General features: G+C 39.6%; 1 long non-coding RNA gene, 1 other non-coding gene and 1 pseudogene across 2 annotated transcripts; 1 reads left to right on the forward strand and 2 right to left on the reverse strand.

The window, feature by feature from the left end:
* The first annotated feature begins 1,315 nt into the window (after positions 1-1,315).
* LOC105378774 (uncharacterized) lies at positions 1,316-15,202 on the forward strand. The gene is made up of 3 exons (XR_947460.4): positions 1,316-1,506; positions 14,294-14,392; positions 14,951-15,202. It is a non-coding gene; the product is annotated as an uncharacterized LOC105378774 (long non-coding RNA).
* On the reverse strand, positions 15,931-16,190 carry RNU7-62P (RNA, U7 small nuclear 62 pseudogene; annotated as a pseudogene).
* Positions 16,029-16,090, reverse strand: LOC124904732 (U7 small nuclear RNA). The gene has a single exon (XR_007067283.1). It is a non-coding gene; the product is annotated as a U7 small nuclear RNA (small nuclear RNA).

Genomic DNA, 18,483 nt, shown 5'->3' on the forward strand with positions numbered 1-18,483 from the left:
GAAAGCACAAAGAGTGGAGGTATTAGTTTTTGCCTCTAGAACCGGGGTCAGCAAACTTTTTCTTAAAGGGACAGATAGTAAAAACTTTAGGCTTGCTGGTCAGATAGTCTCTGCAGCCACTACTCAATTCTGCAAAGCAGCCATAGACAATATGCAAATGAATGGGTGTGTCTGTGTTCTAATATAAATCCATAGTTATAGAAACATACAGCTGGCCCATGGGCTGTAGTTTGCTGACTGCTACTCTTAGATATAGTCTTAGATAAAGAAACTACTTGAATTGCCACAGTATTGGCCTATAACAATTGAATGTCCCCCAATTTTAAGAACAGCCCAATTTCAAATGATCTAAGATTAAGTGTTCACATTTTTGCCCCTGATGATATTGTTCCTATATTATTAGGTGTATTAGTTATACACTACTATGTAAAATATTTACCCCAAAATGTTGTAGCATAAAATAGCAAATACTTATTATCTCATAGTTTCTCTGGGTCAGGAATTTGGGCCTGGCTTAGCTGAGTACCTGTCCCTCAAAGACTCTTACAAAGCTGAAATCAGTTTACATCAACTGGGGCTGTGGTCTTATCTGAAAGTTTGACCAAGGGGAGATCCTCTTTCAAACTGACTCAGATGTTGGCAAGATTAAGTTCTTTAAAGGCTTCTCTCAGTTCCTTGCCATGAGGGTCTTTCCATGGGGCAGCTCACAACATGGCAGCTGGCTCCCATCAGAGGGAGCAAGTGAGAGAGCAAGAAAGGGCAAAAATATGGAAGTCAGAGTCCTTGTGCAAAAACCCAATCTTTGCAACATCTCATCACTTTTTTCACTTTGTATGAACCATGAGTAAGTCACTAAGTCTAACCCATACGTGGGGGGAGGAGATTATACAAGGGTCTGAATACCAGAAGCCAGAAATCATTTGGAGCCATTTTAGAGGCTGCCTACCAGGTAAGGGCTAGGTATTTGATTTATTCCTTCACAAATATTTATTGAGCACCTATTATATGTAAGGCACTACAGTAGGTAGTACATAGAACAGAAAAAAAATTCTTGTTCCCATTCTGGTGAGAGAAGACAGATGATAAACACGAAAAGGGAATTAATACAAAATGTCAGCTAGTGTTGCAAACTAAATGTGCCCACTCAAAATTCATATGTTGAAGCCTGATCCCCAGTGTGGCTATCTTTGGATGGGGCTGCTAAGGAGGTCATTAACATGAAATTAGGTCATAATGGTGGGTCTGTGATCTGATAGAATAAGTGTTCTTATAGGAGACACCAGGAAGTTTGCTCACTCTCTCTTATCTCATGGGGAAAGGCCTCACATGAGGACACAGTGAGAAGGCAGTCATCTACAAGTCAGGAAGAGAGCCTTCACCAGAAATGGAATTTGTTGGCATGCTGATCATGGACTTCCAGCCTCCAGAACTGTGACAAGATAAATGTCTGTTTTTGGCTGGGCATGGTGGCTCACACCTGTAATCCCAGCATTTTGGGAGGACGAGGTAGGCGGATCATGAGGTCAAAAGTTCGAGACCAACCTGACCAACATGGTGAAACTCTGTCTCTACTAAAAATACAAAAATTAGCCAGGCATGGTGGTGTGTGCCTGTAATCCCAGCTACTCAGGAGGCTGAGGCAGGAGAATTGCTTGAACCTGGGAGGCGGAGGTTGCAGTGAGCCGAGATTGCCCCAATGCACTCCAGCCATCTGGTCTGGGGTATTTTGTTATGGAAGCCTGAGCGTGTAAATTTAGGTGGTGATAAGTATCATGGAGAAAAATAAAGCAGGGTAGCACTGGAAAAGGGTTTGCAACTTTAAATTGGGTAGTTTGTGTAGGCCCCACAGAGGTGACACCTGAGCAAAGCATGTAGGAGGTGAAGGAGTGAGCCAATATAAATATGTGAGTTTCAGAGGGAACAGCTAGTGCATGGACTGTGAGACTGGGAGCATATTGTTCAAGGAGTGGCAAGGACATCATCATATTTGGGACAAAATGTATTTAGGGGGTTAGGAGGAAAACATGTGGGGTACTATCAGTCATTGTAAGAATTTTTGCTTTTCCTCTTAATCAAACAGGGAGTCATTGCAGGGTTTTAAACTGAGCAGTGCTGTGATCTAACTGATATTTTAATGTGGCCCTCTGGCTGCTGTGTGGAGAAGAGATTAGGTAGAAAGGCAAGGTTGAATGCAGGAAGGCCTGTTAGAAGATGATGGCAGCTTGGTGGGAGATGGAGGTGGTAATGGGTGGAGGTAATGAGAAGTCAACCACTTACTTTCACTCTCAGAAGCAAAATGCTAGTTTAGAAGCCTCTTCATTAGCAGAGCCTAATCAATAAATTTTTTGTTTGTAAGGGGTGACATGGAAAGAGCCCCAGACCAGAGGCCAAGAGACCAGGTCCTAGTCTGGACTCTATCAGCTTAGCGGAGTGATAGAAGACGAATCAATCAACCTCTGGATCTCTGTGTCTCCTTCAGTAAAATAAGATGTTTGAACAAGGTCCTCTCTAACTCTACAAGTATAATTTTATGAGTCTCAGTGGAAAGTAGATTTGGAACAAATGAATAGTTCTATTACTATTCACTTTAAGCTTGATCATTCCTTGTGAGGGAAAAAAAAAACACAGAAAATTGCAGAGCTGGGCCTTCAGGAAAATTAAAAAACAATTACAGGCAAAATAATATCCTTGGGAAAAACTCCATGTTTAATCTCTAGGTAGCCTGGGGCCTAGGTAGACTGAGGGATGTACATCAGTGAATTTTCCCAATGCAGATGAACAAAACAAAATTCAACCAGAAATCAGACAAGATCCTATTCTTCAGGGAAGGAAGTGATATAATAGTTTTACAGAAATTCAGTGACTCTAATCTCTCTCCATGTTCCCACATGTCAAGTACAATGCACCTTGACAAGGCGTTGCCCCTCAAATAGAGGGATTAAGGATTATTACTTACCACCCCCTGGAAATGCACCTGAAGAAACTGGTAGGAGCCAAAGAAGGCGTCTTTAAACACTCATGTGAAACAGGTTGAGACTTAGTGATAACTGCTTCCAGAGCACCATCAGGCAGTTATCCAAGCAAAAACCATATCCATGCCACCAAATATCTTTGTTAGTAACAAAATTACAACTTTAAACTGCTGGAGGGCAGTGCAAGAGGTTGCCACTAGCATTTTTGGACTGCCCATTGCCTACCAGGCGTACGTAGATGTTCACTCAGTTATTCTTCACAATGATTTTGGGAGGTAAGATACCATTATCTGTTTTGCAGAAGTAGGAACTGAGCCTGACTTGCCTAAGGACATGCAGCTAGGAAGTGCAGAGCAGAGATTGCTTACAATACCCAAGTTCTCCGCTCCACAATGCTGCCACGCTAATGTGTTTTGTCTCAGGGGTTGGTGCTGATCACTACATTGTTAATATTCACTGAGCACTGAACTGAACATCAGTCACATATTATTCATGTTCTAGTTGTTTTTATTCTCAGAGCTTATGTCAGCCGTGCATTGGGGAATTTAAGAGCACCAAATAATTTCAGAAACTACTCAAGGCTGTACAGCTGCAAAATAAGTTATGAGTCTGTAGGGAATGGTTTAGAGGGTGGTAGTGGCCTCTGCAGTTCAACTAATCTATACTCAAACTTGTAACTCCACCACCTAGTAGCCATGTGACCTTGGTCAAGTTACTTAACCTCTCTGAGCCTGAGCTTCTTCATTTGTAAAACAAGGGCAATAATGGTGTGTGCCTCATTAGGTTCTATGTACATATATAATATGAAAATTCACATAAATTGCTTAGAATAGTGCCTAACACATGGTAAATACTCAATAAATGTTGTAGAGTATTATTGTTTACCTAGAAAATAACCTTCTTTGAGGTTGCTGAAGCTATTTCTTTGTCCCTGCTGACTTTTCAGGCTGTGTGTTTCATGCATTTATTTGTTTTTTAATAACAAATCTGAGACCAACTGATATAATTCTTTTGTTCCAAAATTATAGCTAGTCTTGATCTTCATGGTCTAATTCTCATTGAATTGGTGGTATATTGCTTGTCAATTCAAACCTGACATAGAAAAATAATCTGTCCCACAACTCTGGTGTTAAATCCACCATGGCTGGAATTATAAGCAAGCTTCCATTTAAGGACTCTCCACAATGTGATGCTCTAAATGGCCTCCCAGGAATGTGCTCTTGTCTTTCCAGAGGCTTTTCTGGTCTCATAAATAAGCAGAATGGGCTGGGTGCAGTGGCTTACGCCTGTGATTCTAGCACTTTGGGAGGCCGAGGCGGGTGGATCACGAGGTCAAGAGATCAAGACCATCCTGGCCAACATGGTGAAACTCTGTCTCTACTAAAAATACACAAATTAGCTGGGAGTGGTGGTGTGCACCTATAGTCCCAGCTACTCGGGAGGCTGAGGCAAGAGAATCACTTGAACCTGGGAGGCAGAGGTTGCAGTGAGCTGAGATCGCATCACTGCACTCCAGCCTGGCGACAGAGTGAGACTCCGTCTCAAAAAAAAAAAAAAAAAGCAGAATGATCAGGATAGGAAGCGTTGCCAATTGAGGAGTGCATGAATTGTCCGAGTTTGTCACCAAATAACTTCTGATCAGTTTTTGCCTTGACAGGCCTAATTTTTCAAGAATAGTCAGAAATGCAGATTTTGAAATTTGTGTGTGTGGCAAAAATCCTGTGCTTTCCTAATGCTGGCAACTAACTCAGGTAGGAGGCACAGGCAAGCAATTAAATATTGCTAACTAATTCAGTGTTGACAACTAACTGAAATGGGATGCATAGAAATGCAAATCAAAACCACAATAAGATACCATCTCACACCAGTTAGAATGGCAATCATTAAAAAGTCAGGAAACAACAGGTGCTGGAGAGGATGTGGAGAAATAGGAACACTTTTACACTGTTGGTGGGACTGTAAACTAGTTCAACCATTGTGGAAGTCAGTGTGGCAATTCCTCAGGGATCTAGAACTAGAAATACCATTTGACCCAGCCATCCCATTACTGGGTATATACCCAAAGGACTATAAATCATGCTGCTATAAAGACACATGCACACGTATGTTTATTGCGGCACTATTCACAATAGCAAAGACTTGGAACCAACCCAAATGTCCAACAACGATAGACTGGATTAAGAAAATGTGGCACATATACACCATGGAATACTATGCAGCCATAAAAAATGATGAGTTCATGTCCTTTGTAGGGACATGGATGAAATTGGAAATCATCGTTCTCAGCAAACTATCGCAAGGACAAAAAACCAAACACCGCATGTTCTCACTCATAGGTGGGAATTGAACAATGAGAACACTTGGACACAGGAAGGGGAACATCACACTCTGGGGACTGTTGTGGGGTGGGGGGAGGGGGGAGGGATAGCACTAGGAGATATACCTAATGCTAAATGACGAGTTAATGGGTACAGCACACCAGCATGGCACATGTATACATATGTAACTAACCTGCACATTGTGTACATGTACCCTAAAACTTAAAGTATAATAATAATAAAATAAAATAAAAAATTTTAAATGTCTGATCTAGTATAGCTCAAAGGTCCCATCTGGTTTGAAAAATTGAGATTATTAATAAAAGAATAAAAATTAGAAGAAGGAAAATAGTCTCAGCAAAATGGACTTAAAATTTTAGGAATGTTTTCTAGACATGCTGGTTTGGGTCCAAAAAACTACCTACAGGGAAAGGTTCTCCTAATTATTTTGCCAGTACAGAACCACTTGAAACCACATGGCAGTGGTCACCTTGAGCTTGTGGAAAATAGCTGGCCCCTCCAGTTTTCAATTTAACTTGAAAGCAGAATGGATCTCTGATGATTGGTGATGACGAGCATCTTTTCATATGTGTATTGGCTATTTGTATATCATCTTTGGAGACATGTCTATTCAGACTTTTGCTCATTTTAAAATCAGCTTATTTGATGTTTTTGTAATTGTAGGAGCTCTTTACATATTCCGGATATTAACCCTCATTAAATCTATGATTAACAAATATTTCCTTTTATTCTGTAAACTTTTTTTTTTCAAGTTTGGGTCTCTCTCTGTCACTCAGGCTGGTGTGCAGTGGCATGATCATGTCTCATGGCAGCCTTGAACCCCTGGGTTCAAGCAATCCTTTTGTTTCAGCCTCCCAAGTAGCTGAGACCACAGGCACACACTACCAAAACTAGCTAATTAAAATTTTTTTTTTGTAGAAACAGGATCTCACTATGTTACCCAGGCTCGTCTCAAACCCCTGGCCTCACGTAATCTTCCTACCTTGGCCCCCCAAAGTGCTGAGATTACAGGTGTAAGCCACCATAACCAGGCTTATAAATTGCATTTTCACCCTCTTGTGTTCTTTGATGCACAAAAGTTCTTAAGTTTGCTATAGTTTCATTTGTCTGTTTTTTTTTATTTTGTTGCCTGTACTTTTGGCGTCATAGCCAAGAAATTCATGGCCAAGTTTAATGTCATTAAATTTTTCCACCATGTTTTCTTCTAGGAGTGTTGTAGTTTGGGGTCTTATGCTTAGAAGGTGCTGCTTTGAGACCCAGAGAAGACCTTGATCTTTTCATTTGAATAACTATCTTCATCCATCAGCTTAATGGATCATTTCAACCCTCAAGGCTAATATTCTAAGGGGAGCAAGAGAGTTCCCCTTATTCTAAGCTAACTTATCCCCACCACTGCCCCACCTCTGACCAAACCTTCATGTCCAATAGCCCTGCTGTTTCTTTGTGCAGTTGCAAAGGGGGAGATGTATGTCAACAGTCTCTTGAGAATGAAACGCTGCCTGCTTGCCTGCCTCCCTGTCCCCCATATCTTACTAATATATAAAAATATATGGGCCGGGCATGGTGGCTCATACCTGTAATCCCACCACTTTGGGAGGCTGAGGCGGGTGGATCACCTGAGGTTGGGAGTTCGAGACCAGCCCTACCAACAAGGAGAAACCCTATCTCTACTAAAAATACAAAAAAATAGCCGGGTATGGTGGTGCATGCCTGTAATCCCAGCTACTCAGGAGGCTGAGGTAGGAGAATTGCTTCAACCCGGGAGGCAGAGGTTGCAATGAGTTAAGATCGGGCCATTGCACTCCAGCCTGGGCAACAAGAGCAAAAATAAGTGGTAAGATGACTTGAAACCCTCTCTCTTCCTTTAGTGGGAAGAGGAACCTGGTGCTAAGAGAGAAGCATTTTGCACCCAGTGCTATTTACAGTAAAGTGATTTGAAGAAATTTTGTAATGAGACCCAGGATAGAGAGGATACAATTATGTCTACTTTCTACTTTCATATTTAGGCCCAGAGTCTTTGTTCCGTTACAGAATTGTGACCTTCCAGATAAGTCTAAGATAACCAATTTGTGGAAGACAGCACATTTCTATGACAACCAACATATAAAAGTATAGGTGAAGACCAGAAGAAGGGCCAAGAAGATTATGTGTTGTAATAACTTCCTGCTCTTTCAGGGACAAAGGAAAAGAGATTCAACTAATCCCAGAACTTTGGTAACAAAATTCCAGGCAAAGTTAACAAGTATGTTCCAAGTGTGATCCATAGGAATAATGGCAAAACAGTGGGACTTTCACTAAGCTGGAACTGTTTTTCTCCCAAAATAGCTAAAACCAACACAATGTGCAACTACAAATATTCCTCTATTTTGTGAAGATGATGCCATCTAACCAACATGAGAAATTCATATTACTAACATCAAGGATGTGGGGGCAGGTGCAGTGTCTCACACCTGTAATCCCAGCACTTTTGGAGGCCAAAGAGGGAGGACTGCTTGAAGCCAGGAGTTTGAAACCAGCCTGGGCAACAAAACAAGACCCCATCTTTACAAAAAAAAAAAATTATTTAACTTAGCCAGGTGAGGTGGTGCACATCTGTGCTTCCAGCTACTCAGTAGGCTGGGCTGGAGGAGCATTTGGAACCAGGTTTTAAAGGCTGTAATCATACCACTGCACTCCAGCCTGGGTGACAGAGTGAGGCTCTGTCTCAAAAAAAAAAAAAAAAAGGTAAACCTACTTCTTTTTTTTTAATTTTTAATTTTTGTGGGTAAATAGTAGGTGTATTTATTTATGGGGTATATGAGATGTTTTGATACAGGCATGCAATATGTCATAATTGCATAATGGAGAATGGGGTATCCATCCCCTCAAACATTTATCCTTTTTACAAACCACCCAATTACACTCTTCTCATTATTTTAAAATGTGCTGGTTAAGTTATTATTGACTATAGTCACCCTGTTGTGCTGTCAAATAGGAGGTCTTATTCATTCTATTTTTTTGTACCCATTAACCATCCCCACTTCCCCCCACCGCCAGCCCCTCACTACCCTTCCCAGCCTCTGGTAATCATCCTTCTACTCTCTATGTCCATGAATTCAGTTGTTTTGATTTTTAGATCCCACAAAGAAGTGAGAACATGCAATGTTTGTGTTTCTGTGCCTGGCTTATTTCACTTAACATAATGATCTCCAATTTGGTCCACGTTGTTACAGATGACAGGATATCATTCTTTTTTACAGATTAACAGTACTCCCTTGTATATATGTATCACATTTTCTTTATTCATTCATCTGTTGATGGACACTTAGGTTGCTTCCAAATATTGGCTATTGTGAACAGTGCTGCTGCAAAGAGTGTCTCTGCAAACAGATATCTCTTCCATATATTGATTTCCTTTCTTTTGGGTATATACTCAGCAGTGAGATTGCTGGATCATGTGGTAGCTCTATTTTTCGTTTTTTTAAGGAACTTCCAAACTGTTCTCCATAGTGGTTGAATTAATTTACACTTCCACCAATGGTGGAAAGCTTCCCTTTTCTCCACGTCCTCGCCAGCATGTTATTGCCTGTCTTTTGTATGTAAGCCTTTTAAACTGGGGTGAGATATCTCATTGTTGTTTTGTTTTGCATCTCTCTGATGATCAGTGATGGTGAGCACCTTTTCATATGCCTGTTTGCCATTTATGTGTCTTCTTTTGAGAAATGTCTATTCAAATATTTTGCCTATTTTTTAATTGGATGCTTAGATTTTTTTCCTATAGAGTTCTTTGAGCTCTTTATATATTCTGGTTATTAATCCCTTGTCAGATGGGTCGTTTGCAAATATTTTCTCCCATTTTGTGGGTTGTCTCTTGACTTTGTTGATTGTTTCCTTTGCCATGCAGAAGCTTTTTAACTTGATGTCATCTCATTTGTCCATGTTTGCTTTGGTTGCCTGTGGTTGTGGGGTATTGCTCAAGAAATCTTTGCCCAGACCCAATGTCTTGGACATTTTCCCTGAGGTTTTCTTGTCATAGTTTCATAGTTTCAGATCTTAGATTTAAGTGTTTAATCCATTTTAATTTGACGTTTCTATAGGTCAAAAGATAAGGATCTAGTTTCATTCTTCTGCATATGAATATCCAGTTTTCCCAGCACCATTTATTGAAGAGACTATCTTTTCCCCAGTGCATGTTTTTGGCACCTATGTTGAAAATGAGTTCACTGTAGGTGTGTGGATTTGTTTCTGGGTTCTCTATTCTCTTCCATTGGTCTATGTGTCTGTTTTTACGCCAGTACCATGCTGTTTTGTTTCCTATAGCTCTGTAGTATAACTTGAAGTTAGGTACTGCAGATTTGTTCTTTGTTCTTAGGATAGCTTTGGTTATTCTAGGTCTTTTGTGGTTTTATATAAATTATAGGTTTTTTTCTATTTCTGTGAAGAATGTCATTGGTTTACATTGAATCTGTAGATTGGGTAGTATGGACATTTTAGCAATATTGAATTTTCCAGTCCATGAACATGGAATATCTTTCCAGTTTTTGGTGTCCTCTTCAATTTCTTTCATTTGTGTTTTATAGTTTTCATTACAGAGAGATCTTTCACTTATTTGGTTAAGTTGATTGCTAAGTATTTAATTTTTTGTGGCTATTGTAAATGGAATTACTTTTTTCATTTCTTTTTCAGATTGTTCACTGCTGGCATATAGAAATGCTGATTTTTGTATGTTGATTTTGTATGATTTTATTTCTTGTGAAATATTAACTCTGGCCATTATTATGCTAAAAATGATGCATTTTCCTCTCTTCCTGTTCTGGGTTCCATTACAAACATTCTCCACATTCACTAACAATGAATGGTACCATTATAAAATGTCTTATTCCTAGTCCTTAAATTTCTTCTCTGGCCCTGGGAGAAGTTAAAGGAGTGGATAGGAAAAAGCATGTACTCTAATACACATGCGTAGAGAGAAAGGAAATCCCATAGTAGCTTGGTGGGCTGGGTGGGATGGGATTGGGTACCTTGATGTGAAACTGAGAAATCTAGCCCACTTCTTTCCTGAGACTTTATTCATATAATTAAACTTATTACAAGTCCTTACAACTTCTCTAAAAGTCCAAATTCCTTACTGACATTTCTCAGTTTAGACCTATAGTATTTTAGCCCATATCAACTTTTCTTTATTCTGCTCTGTAATTCTAAACCTGAGGGTCTACATACTACTTTTCCCAGAATTCCTTGACAACTGGCTGTTGTTGTTGTTGTTGTTATTTTTTGCCAGTAGAGGACACTGGCAGGACGTAGAAAATAAAAAGATGGAGAATCCATTCTTCCTCCTTCTTATCCGCTTCTAGAACTCCTCCGCAAGTGGCTGTATCCTTCCGCAACCCACATTATCTCCATAGTAGCGGCAACAGCCATGAGTTCTAGCATAGCCAAACAGCCTTTCTCTGCACATTTGGACTCCGGTAACACCAGATTCATCCTTTTGTCTCCCAGGCCTAAGAACTGTAGTCGCTTCATGCAGTTACTAAACTGTTGTTTACTAACCACTCCACCCCCTTTTTATTATAAATCTCTCTCTCTCATTCCCTTACCCATGTAACCAATTCCTTGTATTAAATTCCTTCTGTTTAAAATATCTAGAAATATTTCGGTTTTTTTTTTTTACTTGGATCCTGATTAACTCCAACCTACCTTTCTAGTCTTACCTCCTTCTTACCACTAAAATCAAACACTACCTCTTACACTGACCCACATATTATATGCTCCAGTCATACTGTACTTGCTCCCCTTTCACCTAAGTCATATGCCACTTTTAAAAAAAAATCAGGAACAACTTGGATCAAACAAAACTAACCTTTCAGATTTACCACAGGAAGAAAGAATATTGCCATGATAGAGTCTTTGTATTATCAATCCACCTTCTGTTAATAATTTTGAAAGTTTTGTTTTCAGATTAAGAATTTGTGGGGCTGGGGCTGGGGAAGACTGAGGATATAGTTACTTTTAGTCGTAGAGAAATAAAATTACATTTGCACCTGTGAATACTTAATGAAAATCGTACTTGCACCATCCCACATCAAATTAATTTCTTTTTTCTCTTTCCATTGCTCTCCCTTACCTTTGAATTTTAACATAGACTTTGGCATAATAAACTTACTGTTCCTCAGTTTAATTACTCAAGAAAAAGACCTAAGTTCTATGACCTGGTAGTTGGTAATTTTGCTTTGATGTGAATTTGATCATGAATTCTTTGCAGATGGTGCAAAACCAGAATGGCTTATTGATGAGTGAGGCTGGCAGAGCGGTGCCTCCTACATTTCTCTATAGGAGGGACTTAGAGGATACAATCTGGCTTTTAGGGCTTGCTTGGCCAACATTACGTTAACTTTGATCAAGAAAAATAGCAACATTTTCTTAAGATACATGTATTCATTCTTTATATTAGAATCAGAGAATGTCAATTGTCCATATCAAATAATTCTTTTTATTGTTATTGTTATTAATTGAATGTCGTGGAAGGGGACATTTAGAAAGGGAAGTATTTGCTCTCTACTGCTATTACTGCTAGCTGACCGCAAGACCAGAATCTGAGCTCAATGTGGCTCTGTTGTTCTCTTCTCATTACCAAGTATATAGTAGCTTTAAGGATGTAACAAAAATATTCTGTGTGAGAAGAAATCCAACTGACAGTGCTGATGATAAAGAGACAGTGCTGCAATAGACAGAACTAAAGTCTGAGAAAGTGAAAGTATTCACATTTGAGGATTAGCAACTGTTTCAGATACATCACCTGTGAATGTCAAGAAACTACTCTAAAATGTAGATTGCAGAAAATTTGGAAAGAGGAGGGGCACACCCATAATCCCATAATTCCAAAACAGCAAGATGAACATTTTGGAATATATATTTCCAGCTGGTTGGTTTTCTATGTTTTGAATACTGAGGTGATAGTATCCTACCTTTTTTATCGAACATATCAATAAAAAACTGCCAACAGATAACTTTTAACAGACCTATTCCACTGTGTTGAAGTAATACAATTTACTTAATAATTGTCCTAATCAACTATGAATTTTCTAATTTTATTACCATCATAAATAACACTATAGTGACCATTTTATAAATGAATTTAACTGAAATTTCACAATCTTAGGGATATGTGTGTATATATGTATATCTGTGAACACATACATGTACATAGATATACATACATATGTGTATGTGTATGCATATAAGTGGAACTATTAAAAGATTGTGAATATTTTAAAATGTATTAATTCATATTACAAAATGCTTTCCAGAGAGATTAGTCTAATTTGTATCCCCAGTAGCTGTATAAGAGAGTATTTATCTCACTATACTCTTGCTAATATTGAGTATTATCACTTTTAATAATTAGATCTTAGTGATGATACGACAGAAAAATCTAATTCATTCTGATCTAAATCTGCTTTGCAATGTTTTAATAACTATTTGTTGAATAAACTGTTCTTTCACCACTGATTTATCTCTTTTATTCTTAAATGATTGTATAGAATACAGTCTTTATGGACTCTTCCTGTCCTATCTGTCTAATTTTTGTACAGATACCACAAACACTTATTTACTGTAATTTCATAATGTGTTTTGCTCTCTGATAGCACGTCATTAGTCTTTTTAGCATAGTTCTAAGCTAATTTCACCTTTTTAGAACACTTTTGGTTTTACTTCTGCTATAGCACATTGTGTTTTACCTTAAATTATGGCTGCATAACTTATCTCCCAGAAGAAACAGAAAACTCATTGAAGGTGGAGATTTTAAAATCTTTTTTACTGTGTCCCTTTCCAAATCACAGTTATTTACTCAAAAAAATATAGCAAAACCTTTCAACTGCAGGCAAATGGTTTGTTAGAATCAACTTCAAAACAGTCCGTATTCTCTTCCTTTCTGAATTTCCTGGAATCTTGAAGAAGCTCCTTCATCACCTCTATTTCACATCCCTCAATCACACCAGTCATATCCAACAATTCCTTAAGCAAGAACATAAAGAACTGATAATTGCTTCTGAGGGTAATTTGTTCGACACACTGACCTATATATATCGAACCCACTAATAAGCACTATTGAAAGACAAACTAATAGATCATTATTATTATACAGGCTAAATGGAGATATAGCTAAATAGTAATGAATTTTATTTGGTAATTGCCCACATAAGAGAAAAAATTATCATTTAAAAGAACTGTAGTTACTAATTAGTTACTAACTCTACCTGTCTTCTGTGACTTTTATTGTCTCTAAAAATAGTACAGATGTTCATTGGAGACATTCACAAACCAAATAAGTGGCCCTTTATTTGTTTAAGAAATTAATTTGATCAAAGAAGTAGTTTCTAAATCAAAGTATTCTTTGGAAACACCTAATGATTTAAAACATAGATTCCTTGATACCATATAGAAAGTTTGACTTCATAAAGCCAGGGTTGGAACCAGGAATCTGTTTTGGTTTTTTTCCTTTTTAAACTCCCTAGATGATTCTAATATAGCTGTTTGGGAACTACTAGGTTAGAACATGTTATTAATGAGGCTGAGATCATTGCAATACATTTATTCTATTTTATGTATTATTATTATTATTATTATTGAGAAAGGATATGGCTCTGTTGTCCAGACTGGAGTGCAGTGGTGTGATCATGGCTCACTGCAACCTCAAATTCCTGGACTCAAGCGATCCTCTCACCTCAGCCTCCTGAGTGGCTAGGACTACAAGTGTGCACCACCATGCCCAGCTAATTTTTGTTTTTTTTGTAGAGACAGGGTTTTGCCATGTTGCCTAGGCTCGTTCGCTCTATTTTTTTAAGACATAAATATTCTACAAGATTCCATTCAAAATCATTAGGTGTTATAGGGGGCCCAGAGGAGTTGATTCCCAGGTAACTTGACATTTTCATAGAAGTGACAAGAAAAATAGACAAGGGGCATCCATGCCGGAATCATTTATCTTTCAAATCTTCATAGGATGTACTTTTAACTCTTGGATCAGAACAGCATGCCTGGGACTGGTCTTCATGTAAGAAGCGGAGGGAATTCCAGATTGAATTGAAGGACACCAGACAGGTACCATCCCTTGCCATCCACTCCCACTCCACCAGCCTTTTTGGCAAATTATCTCCCCTATTGCCATTATAACAGAAATCTTATATTTAAAACTTGATTCCTTCCAGTTACTCCCTAATTATTCTATTCACTCTATATCATAACTGAACATCCATAATTACTAGACAGGATGCTAATCTCTGGCAAGAGGGCCATAAGCAACTCAATCTCGATCCTCGGGGAGTTGAAATCCAGAGTGGGATGCAGCCCTCTTCATCTATAACACAGCAATGATATGTGCAGTGAAAGAAGAGGGCTCTGAACCCAGATGAGAAGGTGAAATGAAGTGAGGACCCACAGGCACACCATATTAATTGTGCTCCGCTTTATTGCGCTTCATTATATTGCAATTCACAGATACTGCATTTCTTTACAAATTAAAGGTTTGTGGCAACGCTGCGCTGAGCGGGTCTATTGGCACCATTTTTCCAACAACATATACTCAATTCATGTCTCTGTCATATTTTGGCAATTCTCACGATATTTCAAACTTGTTCATTATTATTATATCTGTTACAGTGATCTGTGATCAACGATCTCCGATGTTTCTGTGGTAATTGTTTTGGGCAGCATAGACCACACCTATATAAGATGGTGAACTTAACTGATCAATGCTGGATGGGTTCTGACTGATCCACCGACCGACTTCCCCCTCTTTCTTCCTTTCCTCAGGCCTCCCTATTACCTAAGATACAAAAATATTGAAATTAGGCCAATTAATAACCTACAATGGCCTCTAAGCATTCAAGTGAAAGAGCCACACATCCCTCATTTTATTATTTATTTATTTATTTATTTTTTGAGACAAAGAGTCTCGCTCTGTCACCCAAGCTGGAGTGCAGTGGCACGACCTTGGCTCACTGCAACCTCCGCCTCCCCAGTTCAAGCGATTCTCCTGCCTCAGCCTCCTGAGTATCTGGCACCCGCCACCATGCCAGGCTAATTTTTGTATTTTTAGTAGAGAGGATTTCACCACATTGGCCAGGCTGATCTCAAACTCCGAACCTCGAGTGATCCACCTGCTTCAGCCTCTCAAAATGCTGGGATTACAGGCATGAACTACCATGCCTGGCCTCATCTCTCATTTTAAATCAAAAACTAGAAATGATTAAGCTTTGTGAGAAAGGCGTGTCAAAAGCTGAGATAGGCTGAAAGCTAGGCCTCTTGCATCTAGCAGCCAACTTGTGAATGCAAAGAAAAAGATCTTGAATGAAATTAAAAGTGCTACTTCAGTGAACACGTGAATGATAAGAAAGAGAAACAGCATAATTGCTGATATAGAGAAAGTTTGAGTGGTCTGGGTAGAAGATCAAACCAGCCACAACATTCCCTTAAGCCAAAGCCTAATCTAGAGCAAGGGCCTAACTCTCTTCAATTCTATGAAGGCTGAGAGAGGTGAGGAAGCTGCAGAAGAAGCTTGAAGCTAGCAGAGGTTGGTTCATGAGGTTAGAAGAAAGAAGCCATTTCCATGACAGAAAAGGTGAAGTAGCAAGTGCTATTGTAAAAACTGCAACAAGTTGTCTTGAAGATCTAGCTAAGGTCATTGATGAAGGTGGCTACACTAAACAGATTTTCCTCTTTTTTTCCCCCCCTTCATGGGGGTTTTTGGATGAAAACCAGAAAACCTGCTAGACAAATTCTAAAAGAGCTATAACACTAACAAAGATTTTCAGGGTAGGCAAAGCAGTCTTCTATTGAAAGAAGATGTCATCTAGGATTTTCATAGCTAAAGAGGAAAAGTCCATGCCTGGCTTCACAGCTTCAAAGGACAGGCTGACTCTCTTGTTAGAGGCTAATGCAGCTGGTGACTTTAAATTGAAATCAGTGCTCATTTGCCATTCTGAAAATCCTAGAGCCCTTCAGAATTATGCTAAATCTACTCTGCCTGTGCTCTAGAAATGGAACAGCAAAGCCTGGATGATAGCACATCTGTTTATGGTATGGTTTAATGAATATTTTAAGCCCACTGTTGAGACCTACAGTTAAAAAGAAAAAAGATTTATTTCAAAATATTACTGACCATTGGCAATGCACCTGGTCAGCCAAGAGTTCTGATGGAGATATGCAAGAAGATTAATGCTGTTTTTGTGTTTTTGGAGACAGTCTCACTCTGTCACCCAGGCAGGAGTGTAGTGGTACAATCTCGGCTCACTGCAACCTCCACCTCCCAGGTTCAAGCAATCGTCTTGCCTCAGCCCCCCAAGTAGCTGGGATTACATGTGCATGCTACCACACCTGACTAATTTGTGTGTTTTTAGTAGAGACAGGGTTTCGCCATGTTGGACAGGCTAGTCTCAAACTCCTGACATCAGGTGATCCACCTGCCTCAGCTTTCCAAAGTGCTGGGATTACGGGCGTGAGTCACCGTGCCTGACCTAATGTTTTTATGCCCACTAACACAACGTCCATTCTGCAGCCTATAGACCAAGAAGTACGTTTTACTTGCAAGTCTTATTATTTAAGAAATTCACTTCATAAGGTTGTAGCTGTCATAGTGATTCCGCTGATGGACAAAGTAAATTAAAACCAAAGCATTCGCCATTCCTTTTTTTTTTTTCCCAAAGCAAAGCAGCAAAAGTTTATTACACACAGTATTACACTCTCAAAGGGGAGAGTGAACTGTGAACTCACCTCTGCAAAATGAGATCAGCCCAGTCTGGTGTAGCTTGTGTCTTTTTATACGTTTTTTTTTTTCTCTTCTCTTCCCTAGCTGTCTAATCTCTAGCCAGTTCTGTCTTTTGATTGATAGGTGGGTTGCTTCATTACTTTGGCCCTTGTGCACTTATGTATTGCCTCTATCCCATAATTTTAAGTACATGCATGATATGTAGTCCATATGCATGACCCTTGAATAGCTAATTACCATATGGGGTCATTTTAAGAATACTTTTTCTCTCTAATGTGCATGCCCATCTCTGGGAAGCTACCCCTGACAGGTTTGGAACGGATCTAGCCAGCCATGGGGGCTCCTTACTCACTTCTTTTTTTTTAAAATCTTCAGCTTTTATTTTAAGTTCAGGGGTAATGAGCAGGATGCGCAGATTTGTTACATAGGTAAACATTTGCCACATTTGTTTGCTGCACAGATCATTCCATCACCTAGGTATTAAGCCCAGCATCCACTAGCTATTCTTCCTGATGCTCTCCCTCCCCACCCGCAAAGGGCCCCAGTGTGTGTTGTACCTCCCATGGGTTCTCATCATTCAGCTCCCATTTATAAGTGAGAACATGCAGTGTTTGGTTTTCTTTCTTTCTTTTTTTTTTTTTTTTTTTTTTTTTTAAGATGGAGTCTTGCTCTGTTGCCCAGGCTGGAGTGCAGTGGCACAATCTCGACTCACTGCAAGCTCCACCTCCTAGGTTCATGCCATTCTCCTGCCTCAGCCTCCCGAGTAGCTGGGACTACAGGCGCCTGCCACCATGCCCGGCTAATTTTTTGTATTTTTAGTAGAGATGGGGTTTCACCATGTTAGCCAGGATGGTCTCGATCTCCTGACCTCGAGATCCGCCCACCTCTACCTCCTAAAGTGCTGGGATTACAGGCGTGAGCCACTGCAGCCGGCCCAATGTTTGGTTTTCTGTTCCTATGTTAGTTTGCTAAGGATAATGACCTCCACCTCCATCCATGCCCCTGCAAAGAGCATGATCTTGTTCCTTTTTATGGCTGCATAGTATTTCGTGGCGATTGACCATTCTTGATGCCGTTAAGAACATTTAGGATTCATGGGAGGAGGTCAAAATGTGAACATTAACAGGAGTTTGAAAGAAGCTGATTCCAGCCCTCACGGATGACTTTGAGAGGCTCAAGACTTCCATGGAGGAAGTAATTGTAGATGTGGTGAACATAGCAAAAGAAATGTGGAGCTTGAAGATGGGGCTAAACTGTTGTAATCTCATGATAAAACTTGCTCACACCTGTAATCCCAGCACTTTGGGAGGCTGAGGCAGGTGGATCACCTGAGGTCAGGAGTGCGAGATCCAGCCTGGCCAACATGGTGAAACCCCGTCTCTACTAAAAATACAAAAACACAAAAATTAGCCGGGCATGGTGGCAG

Source organism: Homo sapiens, chromosome 1 (assembly GCF_000001405.40).
Source record: "Homo sapiens chromosome 1, GRCh38.p14 Primary Assembly".
In the NCBI taxonomy this organism is placed as follows: Eukaryota; Metazoa; Chordata; class Mammalia; order Primates; family Hominidae; genus Homo; species Homo sapiens.